General features: G+C 45.1%; 1 protein-coding gene across 6 annotated transcripts in view; it reads left to right on the forward strand.

Moving 5' to 3' along the window:
* The window catches only part of SEZ6L (seizure related 6 homolog like), a 214,135-nt gene that overhangs the window by 161,381 nt on the left and 32,890 nt on the right, over positions 1 to 19,864 (forward strand). For all 6 annotated transcript variants that reach the window (NM_021115.5, NM_001184773.2, NM_001184774.2 and 3 more), the window contains exons 10-11: positions 9,594 to 9,790; positions 16,877 to 17,071. In NM_021115.5, coding sequence (NP_066938.2) covers positions 9,594 to 9,790; positions 16,877 to 17,071 — 392 coding nt within the window. The remainder of the gene's footprint in view (positions 1 to 9,593; positions 9,791 to 16,876; positions 17,072 to 19,864) is intronic.

Consider the following 19,864-nt stretch of genomic DNA (forward strand, 5'->3'; position numbering starts at 1 on the left):
ATATATTTATATATTTTTCTAATTTGCATTTAAAGAAATGCATAAACATTAGACATTTCAAAGTATGTTTGCCTACCTAAAATTGTCCTGTGAATGAGGCTCGAAAAAGCCTTTTAAAGGCAAGATTTCTAAGCCAAGGGTCAAATGTTTGTTTAGAAAGGAATAAGGAAAAGAAAGGTGGCTTGCTCATCATGTCTTTCTATGCCCTCTCCGGAATATTGACTCTAGCTCAATAGTTACCAACCTCACCTACCACCTGCTCCCCACATCCAGGCTCCTGATTGGTTGGGGTAAAAAGGGCACCTGCTGGGGAAGTCAGCCCATTCCATGCTTAGGCATACACTGCCCTCTGCAGGTGAGCAGCAGGATTACATAACCAGAGATGGGTTCGCTGGTCTGTGTCAGATTCTAATTTGCATTCTATCCTCACCTCTTCCACTCTCTAGACCCCAGTGAAAGCAATGAGGGTCCCTTAGGCTGTTTTTATCCTTTTTGAAGAGGTACTACATTCATACGATTCAAAATTCAAAAGTACAAAAAGGTCTACTGTGAAAATTGAGTTTCCCATCCTTCCCCAGCAAACAGCCCCCTCTCTGGCTCTCCTCCCTAGAGGCAATTACTTTCTTATGTATCTTACATATCCTTCCCCAGATCTTTCTAAATATTTCAAAAACCATAACAGAAAGCTTTTATCTATCAAAATTAAGCCACCCAGACTAAGTAACTAGATTAACACTGATTTTATTGCAAACTCTGTTATACCTGATCGATAATAACCATGAACAAAACACAAAGAACATTCGTTACCAAGAAATGTAAAATGTTAGGGAGACAAAATCTTTTTAAAACAAGAAGTCTGGGCCAGGCGTGGTGGCTCAAGCCTGTATCCCAGAACTTTGGGAGGCCAAGGCAGGTGGATCACCTGAGGTCAGGAGTTTGAGAACAGCCCAGCCAACATGGTGAAATGCTGTCTCCACTAAAAACACAAAAATTAGCCAGGCATGGTGGCACGTGCCTGTAATCCCAGTTACTTGGGAGGCTGAGGCAGGAGAATGGCTTAAACCCGGGGAGGGTGGAGGTTGCAACGAGCTGAGATCGTGCCACTGCACTCCAGCCCGGGCAACAGAGCAAGACTGTGTCTCAAAAAAGAATTTAATTTAATTTTTAAAAAACGATGTCTGTAATACAAAAATCACAGCTATATAGGAGGAATAGCTTCTAGTGTTCTATAACACTGTAGGGTGACGATAGTTAACAATAATTTGTTGTTCATTTTCAAACAGCTGGAAGAGAGGATTTTCAATGTTTTTTTTTTTTTTTTTTTTGAGACAGGGTCTCGCTCTGTTGCCCAGGCTGGAGTGCAGTGGCGCGATCTCGGCTCACTGCAACCTCCTTCTCTCAGGTTCAAGCAATTCTCCTACCTCAGCCTCCCGAGTAGCTGGGACTACAAGTGCATGCCACCATGCCCAGCTTATTTTTGTACTTTTTGTAGAGATGGGATTTCACCATATTGGCCAAGCTGGTCTTGAACTCCTGACCTCAGGTTATTCACTCACCTCGGCCTCCCAAAGTGCTGGGATTAAAGGTGTGAGCCACTGCACCCAGTCCAGATTTTTTTTTTTTAGACAGCATCTCACTGTGTCACCCATGCTGGAGTACAGTGGTGCAATCAAAGCTTACTGCAGCCTCAACCTCCAGTGCTCAAGTGATCTTCCCACCTCAGCCTCCTGAGTAGCTGGGACCACAGGCATGTGCCACCGTGCCCGGCTAATGTTTTTATTTTTTATAGAGATGGGGGTTTCACTATATTGCCCAGGCAGGTCTTGAACTCCTGAACTCAAGTGATCCTCCAGCCTTGGCCTCCCAAAATGCTGGGATTACAAGCATGAACCATCATGCCCAGCTGTTCTGAATATTTAATTTGTGTTTTTTTATTCATGTTTTCTGACACAAGACTCAATCGGAACACACTTCTTGAAAACGTGTGTATGTGGCTTTCATGGGCTGTTGTATAAAATGGTGGTTCAGATCTCAAGCTTTGGCATCAAAAGACGTAGGTTTGAATCTTGACCTTCCTGGTTGAGCCTCAGTTTCCTTATCTGTATAATGGAGCAAGTCTTACTTTGTGAGGTTGTTTGAATGCTTGATACTTGGCGGACAGCACTGTTGTTATTCAAAAGCTAAATGTGGGTCCTGTGAAATGCTTTCCCATTCAAAAGCTATCCAATGGGACCAGTGTTTCCACTGCCCTGAGAAAGGGAGGATTTAAAGAAGCAGCCAGAAGTGGTAACACTAAATGGCATGTCCACAAATGGCTGCTCAGGCCCTTGAAGGGGCTGCAGAATGTGCCCAGAGCAGGGTCAAGGTGGGGAAGGAGAGGAGGCTAGACAAGCTGGACAAGCCAGCGGGTTGGCTTTGGAGTGGCCTCTCAGGCATGCAGGGTGTCAGGTGGCATTGGACTTGACTCTAGTGACCTACATATCCAAGAAGGATCAAGGCATGGCCAACAAGAAGCCCTAGAGGCAGGCGGGGCAGAAATCCCTTGAGGCAGCCTCCCTCTGATACCAAAGTTTTCAACTTAACCCTGGGGAGCATGCTGAAAGCAGCCAGGGCACTGGCTGAGAGGAGTCCCCTTCCCAAGGTTGGAGCAGGGAAGAGTCCAGTCGGGGTTAGGGTCCTAGGTAGGAATTGGGGTCAAAGCCACAGTCTACTCTGTGCAAGATCTGAGCCCGAAACCTGGCCCTATGCCCTGAGCTGGCACTGATTCACCCGAGACACACACTCAGCATGGTGCTGAGCACTAGGGATACAGCCAGCAGTGAGTGAGACATGGGAGGGCCTCAGGGAGCTCCTGATCTGCAGCAGATGAGCATCCCCAGACCAATGGGGCCCCAAGTAATGACTGAGCTCCATAAGGAGGGTGAGCACAAGGGCTGCAGGCCAGACCAGGAGGGGATGCTGGGGGCTCTGTGCAATAGTGAATCATGGAAGGCTGAAACTAAGGGGTGGGTAGGAGTTTCCCAGGTGGAGAATTCAGAGCACAGGGAAGGGAATGTGAAAAGTCCCAGAGGTCACCAAGAGCATCGTGCTTTGGAAAGACTGATGAGCAATGCAGTCTGGTTGGAGGTAAAACAATGGCTTGGAAGAGAGAGAGTCAGAAATGAGGCGGCAGGGACGGGGCAGGCGGCAATGCAAAAGATAGACCTATAGAGCCTTGAGACTAGGGTTAAAAGTTGGCACTCTATCCTAAGATGTTTCTTTTTTTTAATTGAGGTGAAATTCATACAACATACAATTAGTCATTTTAACATATACAATATATATATCTACATATGTGATACATTTACAATATTGTGCAACCAACACTTGTATCTAGTGCCAAAACATTTCCATCACCCCAAAAACAAATTCCATACCGATTAAGCAATTGTTCCGCATTCTTCTCCTCACCCCCTAACCCTTGATAACCACCCATCTGCCTTCTTTCTCTGTGGATTTCCCTATTCTGGATATTCCTTATAAATGGAGTGATTCAACAGGTGGCTTTTCGTGGCTGGCTTCTTTCACTGCATGTCATGTTTCCGAGGTTCACCTGTGCTGCGGCGTGGGCCAGTGCTGCATTCCTTTTTATGGCTGAATAATAACTCCGCTGCACAAATAGACCGTATTTTGCTTATTCATTGATCTGTTGAGGGAGCAGATCTGATTTACCTTCTGGAAAGATTCATCTGGCTGCTAAGGGGAGGAGTATCAGGGCCAGGTGAGGATGAAGTCAGGAAACCACCGAGGTGCTGTCCAACTGCCCAAGAGAAAGGTGATGATGGTCTGAGGATAGCCTGCGACAGTGACCAAGAAGAAAGAGGTGGATGTAGAGGGGGAGATGGGAGCTGAGATCTTCTGCCAGGAGCTCACACTTTGTGCCTGTGGAAAGCCTTTCACTCTGGCACCTGAGAAGGGCCAGAGTGGGCAGGGTCTGGTCTTGGGAAGCTTTGTGGTCCTACAGGATCCTCCCAGAAGGGATCCTGCCACTCCCAGTCACAGTCAGACCAAGCCTGCCTGCCTGCCAGCATCTCTCCATCTCCCCTTCATCCTGGAGTCAAACTGCCATCCCGTTTTCCTAGCGCCTCCTTGGATCGTATCTAGCTGACATCTCAATTCAGACCTCAGCGGAAAACCACACTCTGCCCTGTGGCTCTCCCTGCAGTGAACTCAACACATTTTCATCTCGGTTGCTTACAAAGGTCCGATTCCAGGGATGCTAGATGCACTTGGTAAATACATGGATGAGCAAGTGAAAATGTAAGCTCCTCTTTGCATTGAGGGGAAAAAACTAAATTGCCAAACTCTGTGTACATAATTGGAACCAGTCTGTCAAAAAAGATTCAGAAGAATGAGGCAGAGAGTAACTTGATTATTTCTCCCAGTGACCCTTCAGGCACATCCTATATTATTTTTTTCCTCTGGGTGAAAGCTGCGTTTTCATAGGTCTTCTGGTCACAATAAGTGCAGTCCAGTCTGAAAATCTTATAACCCTAAGTATCATTCATTTTGAAACTTCATCCCTCCCTCAACTGTGCTCCTCTGGCTGGGAATTTTGCAAAGGGCATGGGAGGTAAGGGAATAGGAGACTCTAACTTGGCTACACTGTTATGTTATAGAATATATAGAATGCTGATTTTTTTTCTGTCTTTAATAGGATATTAAATGTGTGAAAGTCTCCTGAGCACAGCTGCTCTTAACTTTCCCTTTTGCTGGGGTTCTATCACCCTTTCAGTAGGAAGCCACTTTTAAGGAGACCTATAGTTGGCTTCTGCCTGCAAGGTTCACAACTAGACCCAGGAAACATAGATCATATCCCTACTGTCATCAGTGATGGGATGCTCACTGTCAATATCTGCTTTTATTCTCCTTGCTCTGACCAGAGGCAGGCAGGCATCCCCAGTCTGATTTTATCATTTCTTTTGGTGAGCATCAAATCCAGCTACTGTTATCCAAGCCACAAAAGAAAGACACCTGCCAAGTCACCAAGAGTTCCCTTGAAGCCCTCCTCACTAGGCTTAATGTGAGGGTGATACACATTCGACCCTCCCTCCTATGATGCCCCACAGTGACCACTCCCCTCAAGGCAGTCCTTCCTGCCAGCCTCCTCAATGGCCAGTGCCTTCTTTTCCTTCTCTTATATAAGCTAGAGGTGGGAAGAAGGGCTCAGACTGGAATAGCTGCATCGATGTTAGTAGATGATGCCATTGGTACTCTGTCTAAGCCGTGCAATACTTGCCACCATGTGCCCATAATGACTTCCTACTGCAAGGCCCTTCCCACTTCTCCAGCATTTCTCTGATGCCATGTGGTCACATGGGCAAGCCAGAAGTTCTAGGGACTCAACACATCCAGGAGCATCCCTCAGTCAATAAAGGATGGAAACTGGAGGATAAATACCCCAGCTCCTTCTCCCTATGGATGTGTTCTGCACCATCTCTAAAATTCCTGCAGGACTGAACCCAAAATGCACAGTGAAACCTGCTCATCAATCCCCTCTTCGTTGAGTCCTTCCCTTCTTCTTGTCTCATTTCCCCACCAGTGCTGCCTAGGATGGCCTCCCAGACAAGCCAGACTTCAAAAGGCATTTGTATGTTTGCTTGATCTCTGCATCTGGAGAATCCAAATGCAATCAACAGCCAAGTATCTCTCTTTGGAAAGTGGAAATCCACTGCACCTATTGTCTTGTTCTTAGCTTAGGGAGACACTGCTAAAATTTCAGAACAACAGAAGAAATTGCATTTAATGGTCTGTTGCACACCGTTTACAATGTGCATTTATATAAGTCATGGTTTCTCGAGTTTAGCCCTGTTGACATTTTGGACTAGATACTTTTTTGGGTTGAGGGGCTGTCTTGTGCACTGTAGTATGTTTAACAGCATCCCTGGCCTCCACTCACCCATGGTACCCACCTAGTTAGGAAAAATATGTTTCCAGACATTGCCAAATGTCACCTGTGAGGAAAACTGCCCCTAGTTGAAAACCACTGACATAAATCATCTGATGTCATTTGGCATAAACAGAAATCCAAAGAAGGATGATGGTGGTGATGATGATGATGACGATAGTGATGATGGTGATGGTAACGATGATGATGCCAAAAATGAAAGTGGAATATAACAACATAACATTCAAATGACATCACCGAGCTTGCCCAGGTGCTAATGCTGAAGCTGGAATTTGAATCCAGACCTTCTGCCTGCCTCACCTCATCCCCAGAGCTCATGACATAGACGAGGAATATTAAGGCTGATTCACAGACAAGAAATTTCAGAAAAATCACATGCCTTCCATGAAAGTGACAAAGCTGAGAATCAAACCAAAGCTTTCTGATTTCCAAGCCAGTGTGCTCTTCCCTGCACATTGCTCCATCCTATTTTATGGAGAACAAAGAGTTGCCGTATGGTTTTAAAATGAAAGCTATTTTCACCCTTGAAGATGCTGCTACTGCGTTTTGGCCATTTAAGTGAAAGAATAAAGCCAAGATGTGCATTGTCTGTAAACTACTGTTACCAGCGGATCAGCTGTGAAGTCGGCTTAAGGAATATATCTGCCATCTACCATGTTTCACACTAGTCTAATCCGGCACTTTCATGAACAATTGATGTTTTCATGGTACGTAGAGCTAAAGAGGCCCTCCCCTACTACAGGTCCAAAGCTGACATCAGTCCCACTATTTTTGCTGTCAAGTAGACTCTCTGGGAGGCTCTTTCATACCTTAGCATTTATTGAGCACCTACTGTGTGCAAGAACAAGTGGCAACTCCAGAATTTCAATACAGCAGGGGTTTAGGGGCTTCAATCTGGTTAAAAACTGTCAGGGGGGTAGGAGGAGTCTGGGGATTTTGTCTTGAAGACATGTGTGCAAAGCAAGCAGGTAGCTTTTATTTGAAGATGTTTTGGGAGTAGCATAGGGGAAACTGGTGAAAATTATGGCGGCAATCAAAATCTTCCTAAGCCACCCCTTGGAGCAACTTTACATGAGGAACTACGAGAGGTATGGTGGAAGGTATTGGGGTGAATAAAATACAATCCCTGCCCTCCCAGAAGCAAACTTTCAATACCTTTCTTTGTGTTTCTGTTGTTTTGTTCTGACCACCTGAAACACCAACATGGGTAGTTGCCACCTCACCTCCCAACTCCCGGACTAGCAGCAAACACCACTGTTGGCCATTGGATGAAGCTATCAGCAGGGAGGGCCACTGTCAGTCTGCATCAGTTTCAGGAACTCTGCTCAGGGCCATTTCCCAGAACACCTCTCCTCTGGCATTGAATTGCTCAGTCATACAGTTCCCGTATAAAACCCTTCAGTGTCTCCCCGTCTCCTGCAAGATGATGTCCAAAAGTTGAAGCTTGGCTCTTTAAGCCCTTCATGATCTAATCCCTGCAGAACTCTGCAGGCTTCTATGCCTATCCCCATACCCCAGGCACACTGACCACTGGAAAAATTCTTTCAGGAACCATGGTCTTACTCCTTTCTTCCCTCTGCCTTCTCCCCATCATTCATTGTTTTCTTTTGTTTTGTTTTGTTTTGTGAGATGAGTTCTTGCTCTATTGCCCAGGCTGGAGTACAGTGGCACAATCATAGCTCACTGTAGCCTCAAACTTCTGGGCTCAAGCAATCCTCCTGCCTCAGCCTCCTGAGAAGCTAGGACTACAGAGGTGCACCACCACACCAAAAAAAAAAAATTTTTTTTGAGACAGGGTCTCGCTTCTTTGCCCAGGCTGGAGTGCAGTGGCACAATCTCAGCTCACTTCAACCTCCACCTCCCAGGTTCAAGCAATTCTCCTGCCTCAGCCTCCCGAGTAGCTGGAACTACAGGCATCTGCCACCACGCCCAGCTAATTTCTTTTTTTAGTAGAGACGGGGTTTCACCATGTTGGCCAGAATGGTTTCGATTTCTTGACCTCGTGATCCTCCTGCCTCGGCCTCCCAAAGTGCTGGGATTATAGGCGTGAGCCACCACGCCCGGACTTTTTTTTTTTCTTTTTTTTTTTTTTTTTGTAGAGACAGGGTCTCTCTTTGTTGCCCAGAATGGTCTTGAACTCCTGGCCTCAAGCAATCCTCCCACCTCAGCCTCCAAAAGTGCTGGGATTACAGGTGTAAGCCACTGCACCTGGACTCCCTACTCTGTGTTTATCTGCCTCGAGGTCTCCTACTCTTTCTTGAGGTTTCAGAGCAAGAAGCATCACCTACTGCAGGAATGCTTCCATGATGCCCCTAATCTGAGTTTGTCCTTACTTTCTCTGTCCTTACTTTGGTTATAACTCCTGCCACAATCCCTGGCTTACAAATCTAAATAGATCACTACTCTGTGACCCTTCTGAGCTCAGCACAGTGCCTGGCTCATAGTAGATGCTCAAAAAAACAAACAAAAAAGAACATTAAGGAGAAGGAGACAAGAAAAGGAGAAAGACATGAGAGAGAAAGAAGACAGAGAGAGGGAAAGAAGAAAGGAAAGAAAGAAATGTGAGTTTGTATCTGTCCATGATTGATGAAGCCAAAGGTGAATTATCTGGCATTCTTTCAATTAGAGATCAATTTTATCTAGCATGTCTGAGATGGCACATGTTTCTGTGGTATAGTGAAGTGATTTCTGGATTATTAACTATCCACTGTGGTTTAATTATTTAGTGTCAAGGTACTTTCTTGCATTGGAGTCTTTGAAAATGTGTCATCCTTTAACAGTATGAATGGTGACAGGTTTGAGCATATCTCATAAGTAAGGTGCCTCCATCCCACCTCTGCCCTACCCCTTAAACATAATGGATCATTCAGTTGACTCTGAGGAATTTGCCCCGTGATAAATGGAAAGATCATTTCACCTTATATAAAAATGCAAGTTGTAATTAGCAAGCTGTCAGCATGTTCTGCACTGAAGAAGAATGAAAGATGCAGGTCATAGCCCCAGCCTGTAGCCTGGTGCCTAACACAGAGATGTCACCTAAGAAATGGTTGCCAATAATGGGAGTTTTGAAGGTGATTCTTCTTACAATGCAGCATTTGACTTTGCAATGAGTCCCATGCAGCCAAGACCATTGCATCAATGTGTCTTCAAAAACCCAACTGACGGCCGGGCACAGTGACTCACGCCTGTAATCCTAGCACATTGGGAGGCCGAGGTGGGCAGATTGCCTGAGCTCAGGATTTGGAGACCAGCCTGGGCAACACGGTGAAACCCCATCTCTACTAAATACAAAAAAAATTAGCCAGACATAGCAGCATGCACCTGTAGTCCCAGCTACTCGGGAGGCTGAGACAGGAGAATTGCTTGAACCTGGAAGGCAGAGATTGCAGCGAGCTGAGAGTGCCACTGCACTCTAGCCTGGGTGACAGAGTGAGACTCTGTCTCAAAAAAAAAATGACTTACAAATCTTTGTGTCACATTTGCAGTCTATGTCAATCTTACCCTCAGCTTGGGGTTAAGACACATAGCCTGGAGCCTGACACATACACACTTAACAAATTTTGTATTGCCTGAAAAAGTTAATCAAGGGTTTATTGAATGCCCATTCTCTATTTCACATGACTCTCCCTCTTCTCTGCCCTCCAAGCCTGAATCTGAGCAACAGTGACATCTTGACCATCTACGATGGCGACGAGGTCATGCCCCACATCTTGGGGCAGTACCTTGGGAACAGTGGCCCCCAGAAACTGTACTCCTCCACGCCAGACTTAACCATCCAGTTCCATTCGGACCCTGCTGGCCTCATCTTTGGAAAGGGCCAGGGATTTATCATGAACTACATAGGTAGGTGTCTCATCTGGTCAATTTATTTTTTCTTTGTGTTTAGATACAGGTTAAGGTGGTTTCCTCTAGGTTATTTGGCAGTTTTGTACTACAGCGATTTTTCATTGTATTGTATTGAAATGTACTCATTTCATTTTTAAAAGCCTGGGCTCTCTAGTCATGAGGACCAGGGTTTGAGCCCTAGCACGGTCATCGATGTCTGTGTGGCTTTGGGAAAGTTACTGAACCTCTCTGAGCCTTCTTTTTGTCATCTGTAAGATGGGCATAGTGATACCTATTCCACAAGGTTGATATCAGGATGTAGTAGACAATGCCTCATAACTTATGTTTCATGTGTGGTCAGCTGAGAACCTGTTGTCCCCATGTTTCATTTGTGGTCAGCTGAGATCTTACATCAACATACTTCCTAATTTCTTCCCAATTTGTGCAACTTCTCAAACATCGTCTTCACCTTCTTGCCCGAACTGAAGCTCAGCTCTCCTCTAAGGCCTCTTCTTTTCCTGTAGCCTCGTTGAACAAGGACAGCCTTCCTTTCGCACTTCTTGTACTTTAGGAGCTATAGATGCAAAAGATGTCTTTCCTCATCCTCAATGTGGCCTCCAAACCATGTCTCTCCTGCTCCTCCTAAAACAAACAAAACAAAAAAAAAACCTGCTATCAAATTCAAGCTAAGCTCACACACTCCTATGACCCCTCGTGTGCTTTCATCCAATCACACTCTTCCCTTCTCATTCCCCACCCTGTAACTCTCCCTCATTCATTACTAGCTCTACGACCCACCCCTTTTCAACCTTTAAACCCTGGAGGGTCCCAGGCTCCATCCTGGACTGTATCCTCTCTTCCAGCTAGACTCACGCCCTCCATGCCTTCATTAGTTCCCATGGATTTAAACAGTACCAATATCCGTTGACCGGTTCATACTTACAACCTTGACCTTAAACTCCAAATCCATCTATCCAACTCCCTGCCAACTCCTCCCTTGCCTCCATCCAGTAGACATCTCAGATTTAACATGGCCAAACAGAATGATTTCTTTTCCTACCCACCACCACCACTACCCAACAGCATCCCCTGCTATCTGCCAATCCTAGGAAATGAGACAACAACTCTCCTGGTTTCTCAGGCTGCTTCCTCCTTCCTTGCCCCCATATCCAATCCATCCTCTCAACTCCACTTTTCAATATGTCTCAAATCCAAACACATGTCCCCGTCTTTCTACGGCCACCACTCTAGTCCGAACTACCAACATTCCCAGATGTCAGAGGACTGGGACACCATGAAGTCCCACTGATTCCAGTCCCAGAAGAGACTTGCACTAACAGAGGAACTGGTCCAGCCCTGTCGTGTTCCAGCAGAAGAAACCCTGGACAAGCAAGGATGAAGGGTTGCTCATCGGGGCAGAGCCGAGCTCCAATCCATGCTTCCTCATCCCTAGCTCCAAAGCTTCCTCCACCCCCAATATTTTGGGCAGCAGCGGAGAACCTGGGAGACACAGAGGGTAATTAAGACCTAACATCCTTTGACATCTAGAAGAATGGGTGAGTGGTTGCACCCCAAGAATTTCAATGGGCAGGATTCGGCCAGTGATTAGGAAACGTGCTTGCACTTCCCAGGAATTAGACTGGCATCTTGATTTCCAGGATGGAGCAGAGAAAAGGAGAATTCATCCTACCCAGCCCTCTGCCACCACCACTACCACAAAAGACCCTGTGGTTGGAGCAAGATTCCATGTCTTTGGTTCTTTCTCCCCGTTCACTTAAAGAATTGTCCATCTCGGCCGGGCGCAGTGGCTCATGCCTGTAATCCTAGCACTTTGGGAGGCTGAGGCGGGCAGATTACGAGGTCAGGAGATCGAGACCATCCTGGCTAACACAGTGAAACCCCGTCTCTACTAAAAATACAAAAAAAAAAACATTAGCTGGGTGTGGTGGCAGGCACCTGTAGTCCCAGCTACTCGGGAGGCTGAGGCAGGAGAATTGCTTGAGCCCAGGAAGCAGAGGTTGCAGTGAGCCAAGATTGCGCCACTGACTCCAGCCTGGGTGATAGAGCGAGACTCCGTCTCAAAGAAAAAAGAAAAAAGAAAAGAATTGTCCATCTCTAACTAGGTTGGTGCAGAAGTAATTATGATTTTTGGAGTTTTAATTTGCAAAAACTGCAATTACTTCTGCGCCAACCTAATAATATGAATTGTCCTCTCTGTACCAGCACTTGCACCTAAAAACAAGCTACCCCCTTGACCATGGGCTGTTTCAAGAAGCCTCATGCGTGCCAAAGTACATTCCTGGCATTTTTATTTCCAGATGGTGAACATTTTTCATCCCTGCCTGCTACATGTCCACCTCTCAGAGAGGCTAACACGAGTATTGATCTTCTTTTTTATGTTTCCCAGGGGCCTTTTACCTTTGATTGTGCTGCTAAATATTTTCAGAGTGTTATTGCTACAATTTCTTGTGGGTTCCCCGCTCTTTTCTGGGCAGTGCCCTGGGCTTCAGGGGATAACTCATGTTGGCTGTCCAGGCAATGTACCCTCCAGACTCAGCTGCCTTTGGAGGAAGTCTCTGGTCTCCTGGCTCCTGTCTCTCTCCTTAGACGTCCTCTCCCTCTCCACTGAAAGATGAGGTCATGGTTTTTGCTCATTTATCTCCCCTAGCGCCCAAGTCAGTATTCCAAACCTGCATTCAGCTTGATGGCCAAAAAAAAAAAAAAAAAACTGACTGACTCTATCCAAGGCTGGTCAAGGTTAACCAGAAAGTCTGGCCAGTGTTCAGTTTGGCAATATCTTGAAGAAGAAGTGTTTTTGTTCATTGAAGTTGAAACTTTTTGTGATTTGTGTGACAACTTACAGTTGGCAAGCACTTTAACATATATTATTTTATTTCACATCTTCAAATGCATTATCTCCATTTCCAGAGGATTTGGTTCATAAAAAATCCCTTGACACCTCCTATATGCTAGGCTCTGCACACCAGGATATAGAGATGAATAGAATATTCTCCCTACCCTTAAGACATTAGTGGAAATGCGAAAGGCAGTCCCATTAATAGACAATACCAGGATCACAAGCTGATGCTGTGGGAGAGGCAGAAAAAGGATTGCAGAGAATGTTTTTCAGGGATACACAGCTTGGCTAGTTTGGGTAACAAAAAAGAGAGAACAGTTCCTGATTGTTATTCCTGTTAAAGAAACACACAGTTAATTTCACAAGAATGGCAAATAGACCGTTCTAGCTAATTGCGATACCACTCAGTTGCTTACTACTTATGTTGAAGACCATGTTGAAAAGAACTCCAAGGAGGTCATGCCTAAAGTCTATGGCAAAGAATGCCATGATTGATTAGTGATGCCTGCCATGGGCATGAGAAGGGTATTTGTTATTCTGGCTCTAGATTTTACCATACATGGGAGTTACACAGATGTAACTCCCATTCAATGGATGCATCAGATAGTAGGTCAGGGGTTCCTGTGGTCACTAGGGAATTCTGAAGATCCTATATTGACCTAAATGCCTAAGCCCAGCTCTGGAAGGTGGCCAAAGTTTATCTGCTATGATTGCAATTAGAGCCTTCCACAGGAAGACTCTGGGCCTACGTGGTTCTAGAATGTGAATTCTACTCCCAGAATTCACCTTTGAACAGAGAGATGCAAAGACCCATTCACTGTTTCCTGTTCTTTGCCCACTGTCTATGGCCAAAGGCATGGGATGGAAGGGAATAAGAAACAGAGATAAGTAAGCAGTGCTTTTTGAGAAGACGTTGGTTATTTGTCGTGTGTTTATTCCTCCAAGTCTAGGATAATAACTAAGCTCCATATTGTAAGTCAACTCCAATCAAATGACAGTGGCTCCCTGGAGTGCTGTTTTGAGGACTGGGAGGTTTCCTCTTGATTCAAACAAATAGATGGCTGTGCTTGATTAGAGATGTCTGCCATGAGCATGAAATGGTAGATGGTGGTGTGCATTCAGTGCATTTGTGCATTTCTTTTGTGCAAAAATTGAACCTTGGTGCTAATCTTGTCCATGAGACCGAAACCATGACTTCAGATCCCTACATTTCTAGAGTCTAATAAGATGCTCATAATATCTCAGTCAAACAAACAAACGAATCCATCTAACTCATCTTAGTGTTCACACAACATCGTCATATCCTGCATGTTATTTAACTTTCACATTGCCTTTTGGAATAGACAATGTAATAATTCTTGACTCCACTCTGCAAATGAGAACAATGAGGCTTAGAGCAGTTAATTGGCATGACTGGAATCACACCATTTATTTAAAAAAGAAAGAAGAGTAGAAAAGAAGTCTTCCAACTCCTAGGACAGTTTTCTAATTCTTAGTAAAGTTAACAAGGGCCCATGGGAACAGACCATTCCAGAGCCTCCACTTAGGGTGCTTGGTAAAAAAATACATGTTCCTGAGTCAGGGTTTCTGGGGTACAAGCCCTGGAATCTGAAGAACAGGAAGGTTATAGGGTGGTTTTCTAATTATTAGCAAAGTTAACAAGGGCCCATGGGGACGGACCATTCTAGAAACCTCTACTTAGGGTGCTTGGTAAAAATGCATGTTCCTGAATCAGGGTCCCTGGGGTACAGGCCCTGGGATCTGAAGAACAGGAAGGTTAAGTGACTTAGCCAAGGCCACCCAGTTAGTAAACAGTGGGGACAAGATTTAAGCCAAGCTTCTACATCGTGGCAGCAACTGAGAAATTACAAATGCAGTGGGTGCCACCAAGGAGACAGGAGGTCCCACGGGAGCGTGCAGCCATGGTGGCCCATATTGAAGTCAGACAAGCAAACCTTTCTCCGTCTCAAAGCATTTGGCTCAAGGCAGACCACATTTCTGGTGTCTGCTCCCATTTCTCCCCTTTCATCCATAGTCTGAGCATCTGCAGCTGTGTCCCAAATCCAGGGCTTGGCTGATTTTTCAGAGGCCTAAAAATAGAGGCTCCTGTCCCCCCACCAAGCAATTCTCGAAGCTATTTTTTTACCCTTCTTCTTGCAGACACCCATGAGATCTCCTTTCCCCAAATAAAATCATGATGAAATCCCGGGAAAAGCCATTGCTTAGTTCTCAGAATGACTTTCCTGCAGACAGCGGAGGTGCTCTCCTTTCCCCAGAAGCACATAAGAACTGCAAATTAATTATACAACATAATTAGCTTGCTCCTCCAAATCTGTGCAGTGGGCACTTTGAAGCAAGAATAGTAATAGTTTGCCATGCATTGCTACCTTAGTAACAAGAGTTTGTAGGAGAAAAACAGAACAATTACAGAGAAAGACACAGTAATAAGCTGTGGGTAGCATTTTCTGGAGTATGGTTCATTTTCACTAATGATATGCAATTGGATTTGAAGAATATACCAACAGTTTATTTTTATTTATTTCTGTTCAAATTGTTTTTTTTTTCTTTTCTTTTGAGACAGGGTCTCTCTCTGTCACCGAGCCTGGAGTGCAGTGAAGCCTTCATGGCTCGCTGCAGTCTCGAACTCCCAGACTCAAGCAATCCTCCCACCTCAGCCTCCTGAGCAGCTGGGACTACAAACACGTGCCATCATACCTGGCTCATTTTTTTGGTTTTATTATTGTTTTTGTAGAGATGGGGAGGTCTCCCTACATTGTCCAAGCTGATCTCCAACTCCTGGGCTCAAGCAATCCTCCTACCTTGGCTTCCCAAAGTGCTGAGATTATAGGCATGAGCCACTGTGCCCACCTTCTTTTTATTTTGATAGCTAATTATTTCTCTTAATGCATATTAAAAATGCATATATTACTTATTCACCAAACTCATGGATTTACAGATATTCTTAGGATGAAGCTGAGCATATTAGTCACCTATTGCTGTGTCATAGATTATACCCCAAATTAGCAGTAAACATTTATCATCTTGCAGTTTCTCTGGGTTAAAAATTCAGGAGCAGCATGAGTTGGATGGCTTTGTCTTGGGGTCTCTCATGAGGCTCTGGTCAGGATGCCAGCCAGAGCTGCAGTCACCTGAAGGCTTGATAAGCACTGGATGATGAACTTCCAAATGGCTCACACATGTGGCTGGCAAGTCAATGCCAACTGTTGACAGGAGGCCTCAGTTTCTCTTCCCATGGGTCTCTCTGGAGGGCTGCTTGAGCATCCTCACAATATGGCAGCTGCTTCCTCTGAAGCAAGTGATTCAATAGAGAGCAAGAAGAGAAACTCAATGTTGTTATGACCTAACCTCGGAAGCCACCCAGGGCCACTTTTGCAACCTCCTATTCAGTGTTGGTAGGGACTACACAAGAGTGTAAATTCTGCTGGGCACAGTGGCTCATGCCTGCAATCTCAACACTTTGGGAGGCCCAGGCGGTAGGATTGCTTGAGCCTAAGACTTCAAGACTGGCCCAGGCAACATACAAGAGCTCATCTCTACAGAAAAAAAAAAAAAATTAGCCAGGCCATGGTGGTACATGACTGTGGTCCCAGCTACTTGAGAGGCTGAAGTGGGAGGATCACTTGAGCCCAGGAGTTTGAGGCTGTGGAGAGCTATGATCATACTCTTGCACTCCAGCCTGAGCAACAGAGACCCTGCCTGTAAAAATAATGATGATGATGATGATGATGATGATGATAAGAATAATAATAATAAATGAAAAGCAAAAGTAAAATAAAAAACAAAAATACAAAAATTTTTAAAAGAGTGTAAACCCTCGGAGGTGAGAGTCATCCAGTGACATCTGGTAAGCAGCGGCCACAGTGAGACAGGTGCCGTTGTAATTATTCCCTCATGAAAGGTCAAGGAACCTGAGCTGCAGAGTCAAAAAGTGATTGTCCCCCCGTCACACCGTTAATAAGTGGCAGAGATAGGATTCTGTCTGACTCGAAATCCTAAACTGGTTTTATCAAACCAAGAGAATGTTCAGTGAGTTCAGGGGCCCACAGAGAGAGGTAACCATAAAGCTTCACTATAGACGAGCTCTTGCCAGTTAAGCGATTTTGGAAGCGTGTTGCTCATTTCTAGAGGCTTTTTTTTCTCTTCGCTCATCCCTCTAGCCGTCATAAAAGGAGGCCCCGACAACAAGACTGCTTCCCCCATCTAAGACTGACGTTTCTCTTTTAAAGAGGTATCAAGGAATGACTCCTGCTCGGATTTACCCGAGATCCAGAATGGCTGGAAAACCACTTCTCACACGGAGTTGGTGCGGGGAGCCAGAATCACCTACCAGTGTGACCCCGGCTATGACATCGTGGGGAGTGACACCCTCACCTGCCAGTGGGACCTCAGCTGGAGCAGCGACCCCCCATTTTGTGAGAAAAGTAAGAGTGGTCTTGTTTCCTTCCTCTAGGTCCCTGGGTGGCAAATCCCTTCTAGGGATCTTTTTTTGGTGGGTGCAGTGGAGCTGTTTAATGTAGAATCTGGACTCCCCCTCCACCACCAATTCACGAGCATTGCTCACAAATGTCATTTTATAGCTGTCAGTGGAATTACAGACTCAGGTGCCTTCAGAAACCTGGACCATAATGTAAACGAGTGAGATAAGCTGGGTGTGAGACATTAGGGAGTGGTGTGAACTCCAGTGAATGGGAGCGTATGTAGCCTGGTGAAAAAGAACATTTGGCTGGGTGTAGTGGCTCATGCCTGTAATCCTAGTGCTTTGGGAGGCTGAGGTGGGAGGATCACTTGAGCCCATGAGTTTGATAGCAGCCTGGGCAATACAGTGAGACCCTATCTCTAAAAAATAATAATAAGCATAAAAATTAGCTGGGTGTGGTGGGACACACCTGTAGTCCTAGCTACTCAGGAGGCTGAGACAGAAGGATTGCTGGAACGCAGGTGTTTGAGCTATGATTATGCCTCTGCCCTTTAGCCTGGGTGACAGAGCAAAACCCTGTTGAGAGGGGTGGCTGGGAGAGAGAGAAGGAAGGAAGGAAGGAAGGAAGGAAGGAAGGAAGGAAGGAAGGAAGGGAGGAAAGAAAGAAAGAAAGAAAGAGAAAGAAAGAAAGAAAGAAAGAGAAAAAGAAAGAAAGAAAGAAAGAAAGAAAGAAAGAAAAAGAAAGAAAGAAAGAAAGAAAGAAAGAAAGAAAGAAAGAAAGAAAGAAAGAAAGAAGGCAAGGGAGGGAAGGGAGGGAAGGGAGGGAAGGGAAGAAGGGAGGAAGGGAGGGGGAGGGAAGGGGAGGGAAGGGGAGGGAAGGGGAGGGAAGGGGAGGGAAGGGGAGAGAAGAGAGGGAAGGGGGGAGGGAAGGGGAGAGAAGGGAGGGAGGGGAGGGTGAGGGAAGGGGAGTGAAGGGGAGGGAGGGGAGGGAAGGAATGAAAGAGGGGAGGGAGGGAAGGAAGGAAGGGAGGGAGGGAAGGAAAAAGAGAGAAGGGAGAGGAGAGGAGAGGAAGGGAGGGAAAAATCATTATTATTTAACCATTTTAAGGGATTGGAATGAACATGAACTAGTTCCCTATAGAAGTCTTCTTACCTGCCTCATTTTTTGCCAAGAAAAGGCCCAAAGTGGGCAAATAAATTTGAATTGGGCCCCTTCTATGTGGGACTGTTTGCATTTCCATGCTGGGTCTCTCACTTATCCTCCATCCAAGACAGTGGAGACCCACCAATCACCTCTGTTGTTCTCTCTTCTGATGAAATGAGGTCAGAAAAACCCCTTGGCACAATGGTCTCCCCATAGAAGTCACTGGATTTCATTAACCTTTCATTGGTTAATCTCCTGTCTTGACATTGAAAGACATATATAGCCATATCTTAAAATTACATTGGTAACGATGCTTACTTATAGTACCCAGGCAGTAGTAAAATGATAGAATAGAAAGTGAAAATCTTTGATGATGTTACTCTTTGGAAACAACGCTGCTGTTAAACATTTATTCTATATTGCTTCAATTGTGTGTGTGTGTACATGCACATCATACATACATTACATGTCACACATAGACATCTATATATGTGTCATCTGTCATATGTCAATCATAGCTCACTGCAACCTCAAGGTTTTGGGCTCAAGCAGTCCTCCCACCACAGCCCCCCAAAATGCTGGGGTTACAGATGTGAACAACCACACCCAGCTAATTTTTAAAAATTTTTTGTAGAGACAGGGGTCTTGCTATGTTGCCCAGGCTGGTCTCAAACTCCTGGCCTCAGCCTCCCAGAGAGCTGGGATTACAGGCATGAGCCACCGCACCCAGCAGATCCATTCTTACAAACTTCCTGCATCTGCTTTTTTTTCAGCTCAGAAATGTGGATATCTTTTCATATCATACATGTTGTCCAGTTTATTCTCTTTTAATTGGTTTATTGTTTTCCTTTTATCTATATTGATTTTTTAATGTGAAAAGTAATGAAAGTTTATTTTACTACATTCCAGCACTACAGAGAAAGCAGTGAAGGCTCCCCCTCACTTTGTTCTCTTTAGCAGTTGCTCAGAATTTCATGGGATGGCTATTCCATGATATTTAACTCTTTCCCTGTTAAACTATTTGCAATGTTTCCTTTTTAAAAAAATCGCAAATAATAATGCAATATGCAACCTTATACATAGGTCTTTGGACCCTGATGCAAATTATTTGGGCAAATTCATATATATGTGTGTGTGTGTGTATATATATATATACACATATATATATATATATATTTATATGTATTTTTTTGAGGCAAGGTCTCACTCTGTTGCCCAGGCTGGAGTGCAGTGGTGCCATAATGGCTCACTGCAGCCTTGACCTGCCAGGCTTAAGCGATCCTCTCACCTCAGCCTCCTGAGTAGCTGGAAAAACAGGTGTACCCCACCATGCCCCATTAATTTTTGTATTTTTTGTAGGGACCGGATCTTGCTGTGTTGCCCAGGCTGGTCTCAAACTCCTGAGCTCAAGCGATTCATCCACCTCTGTCTTCCCTTTCAAGTCCTAGGATTACAGGCATGAGCTACCGTGCCCCACCTCTTTGGGCAAATTCTTAAAAGAGGAATTAAATTCAAGGCTATTTTCTCCTGGCCTATTCTCCAGCCACCTATCAACAAAAGATACATTATCTTCCAAAAAGGAAAAGAACTGAGTTAGGAAACTTTTTTTTTTTTTTTTTTTGAGATGGAGTCTCGCTCTGTCGCCCAGGCTGG

The sequence above is a fragment of the Homo sapiens genome, chromosome 22 (assembly GCF_000001405.40).
Source record: "Homo sapiens chromosome 22, GRCh38.p14 Primary Assembly".
Classification (NCBI taxonomy): domain Eukaryota; kingdom Metazoa; phylum Chordata; class Mammalia; order Primates; family Hominidae; genus Homo; species Homo sapiens.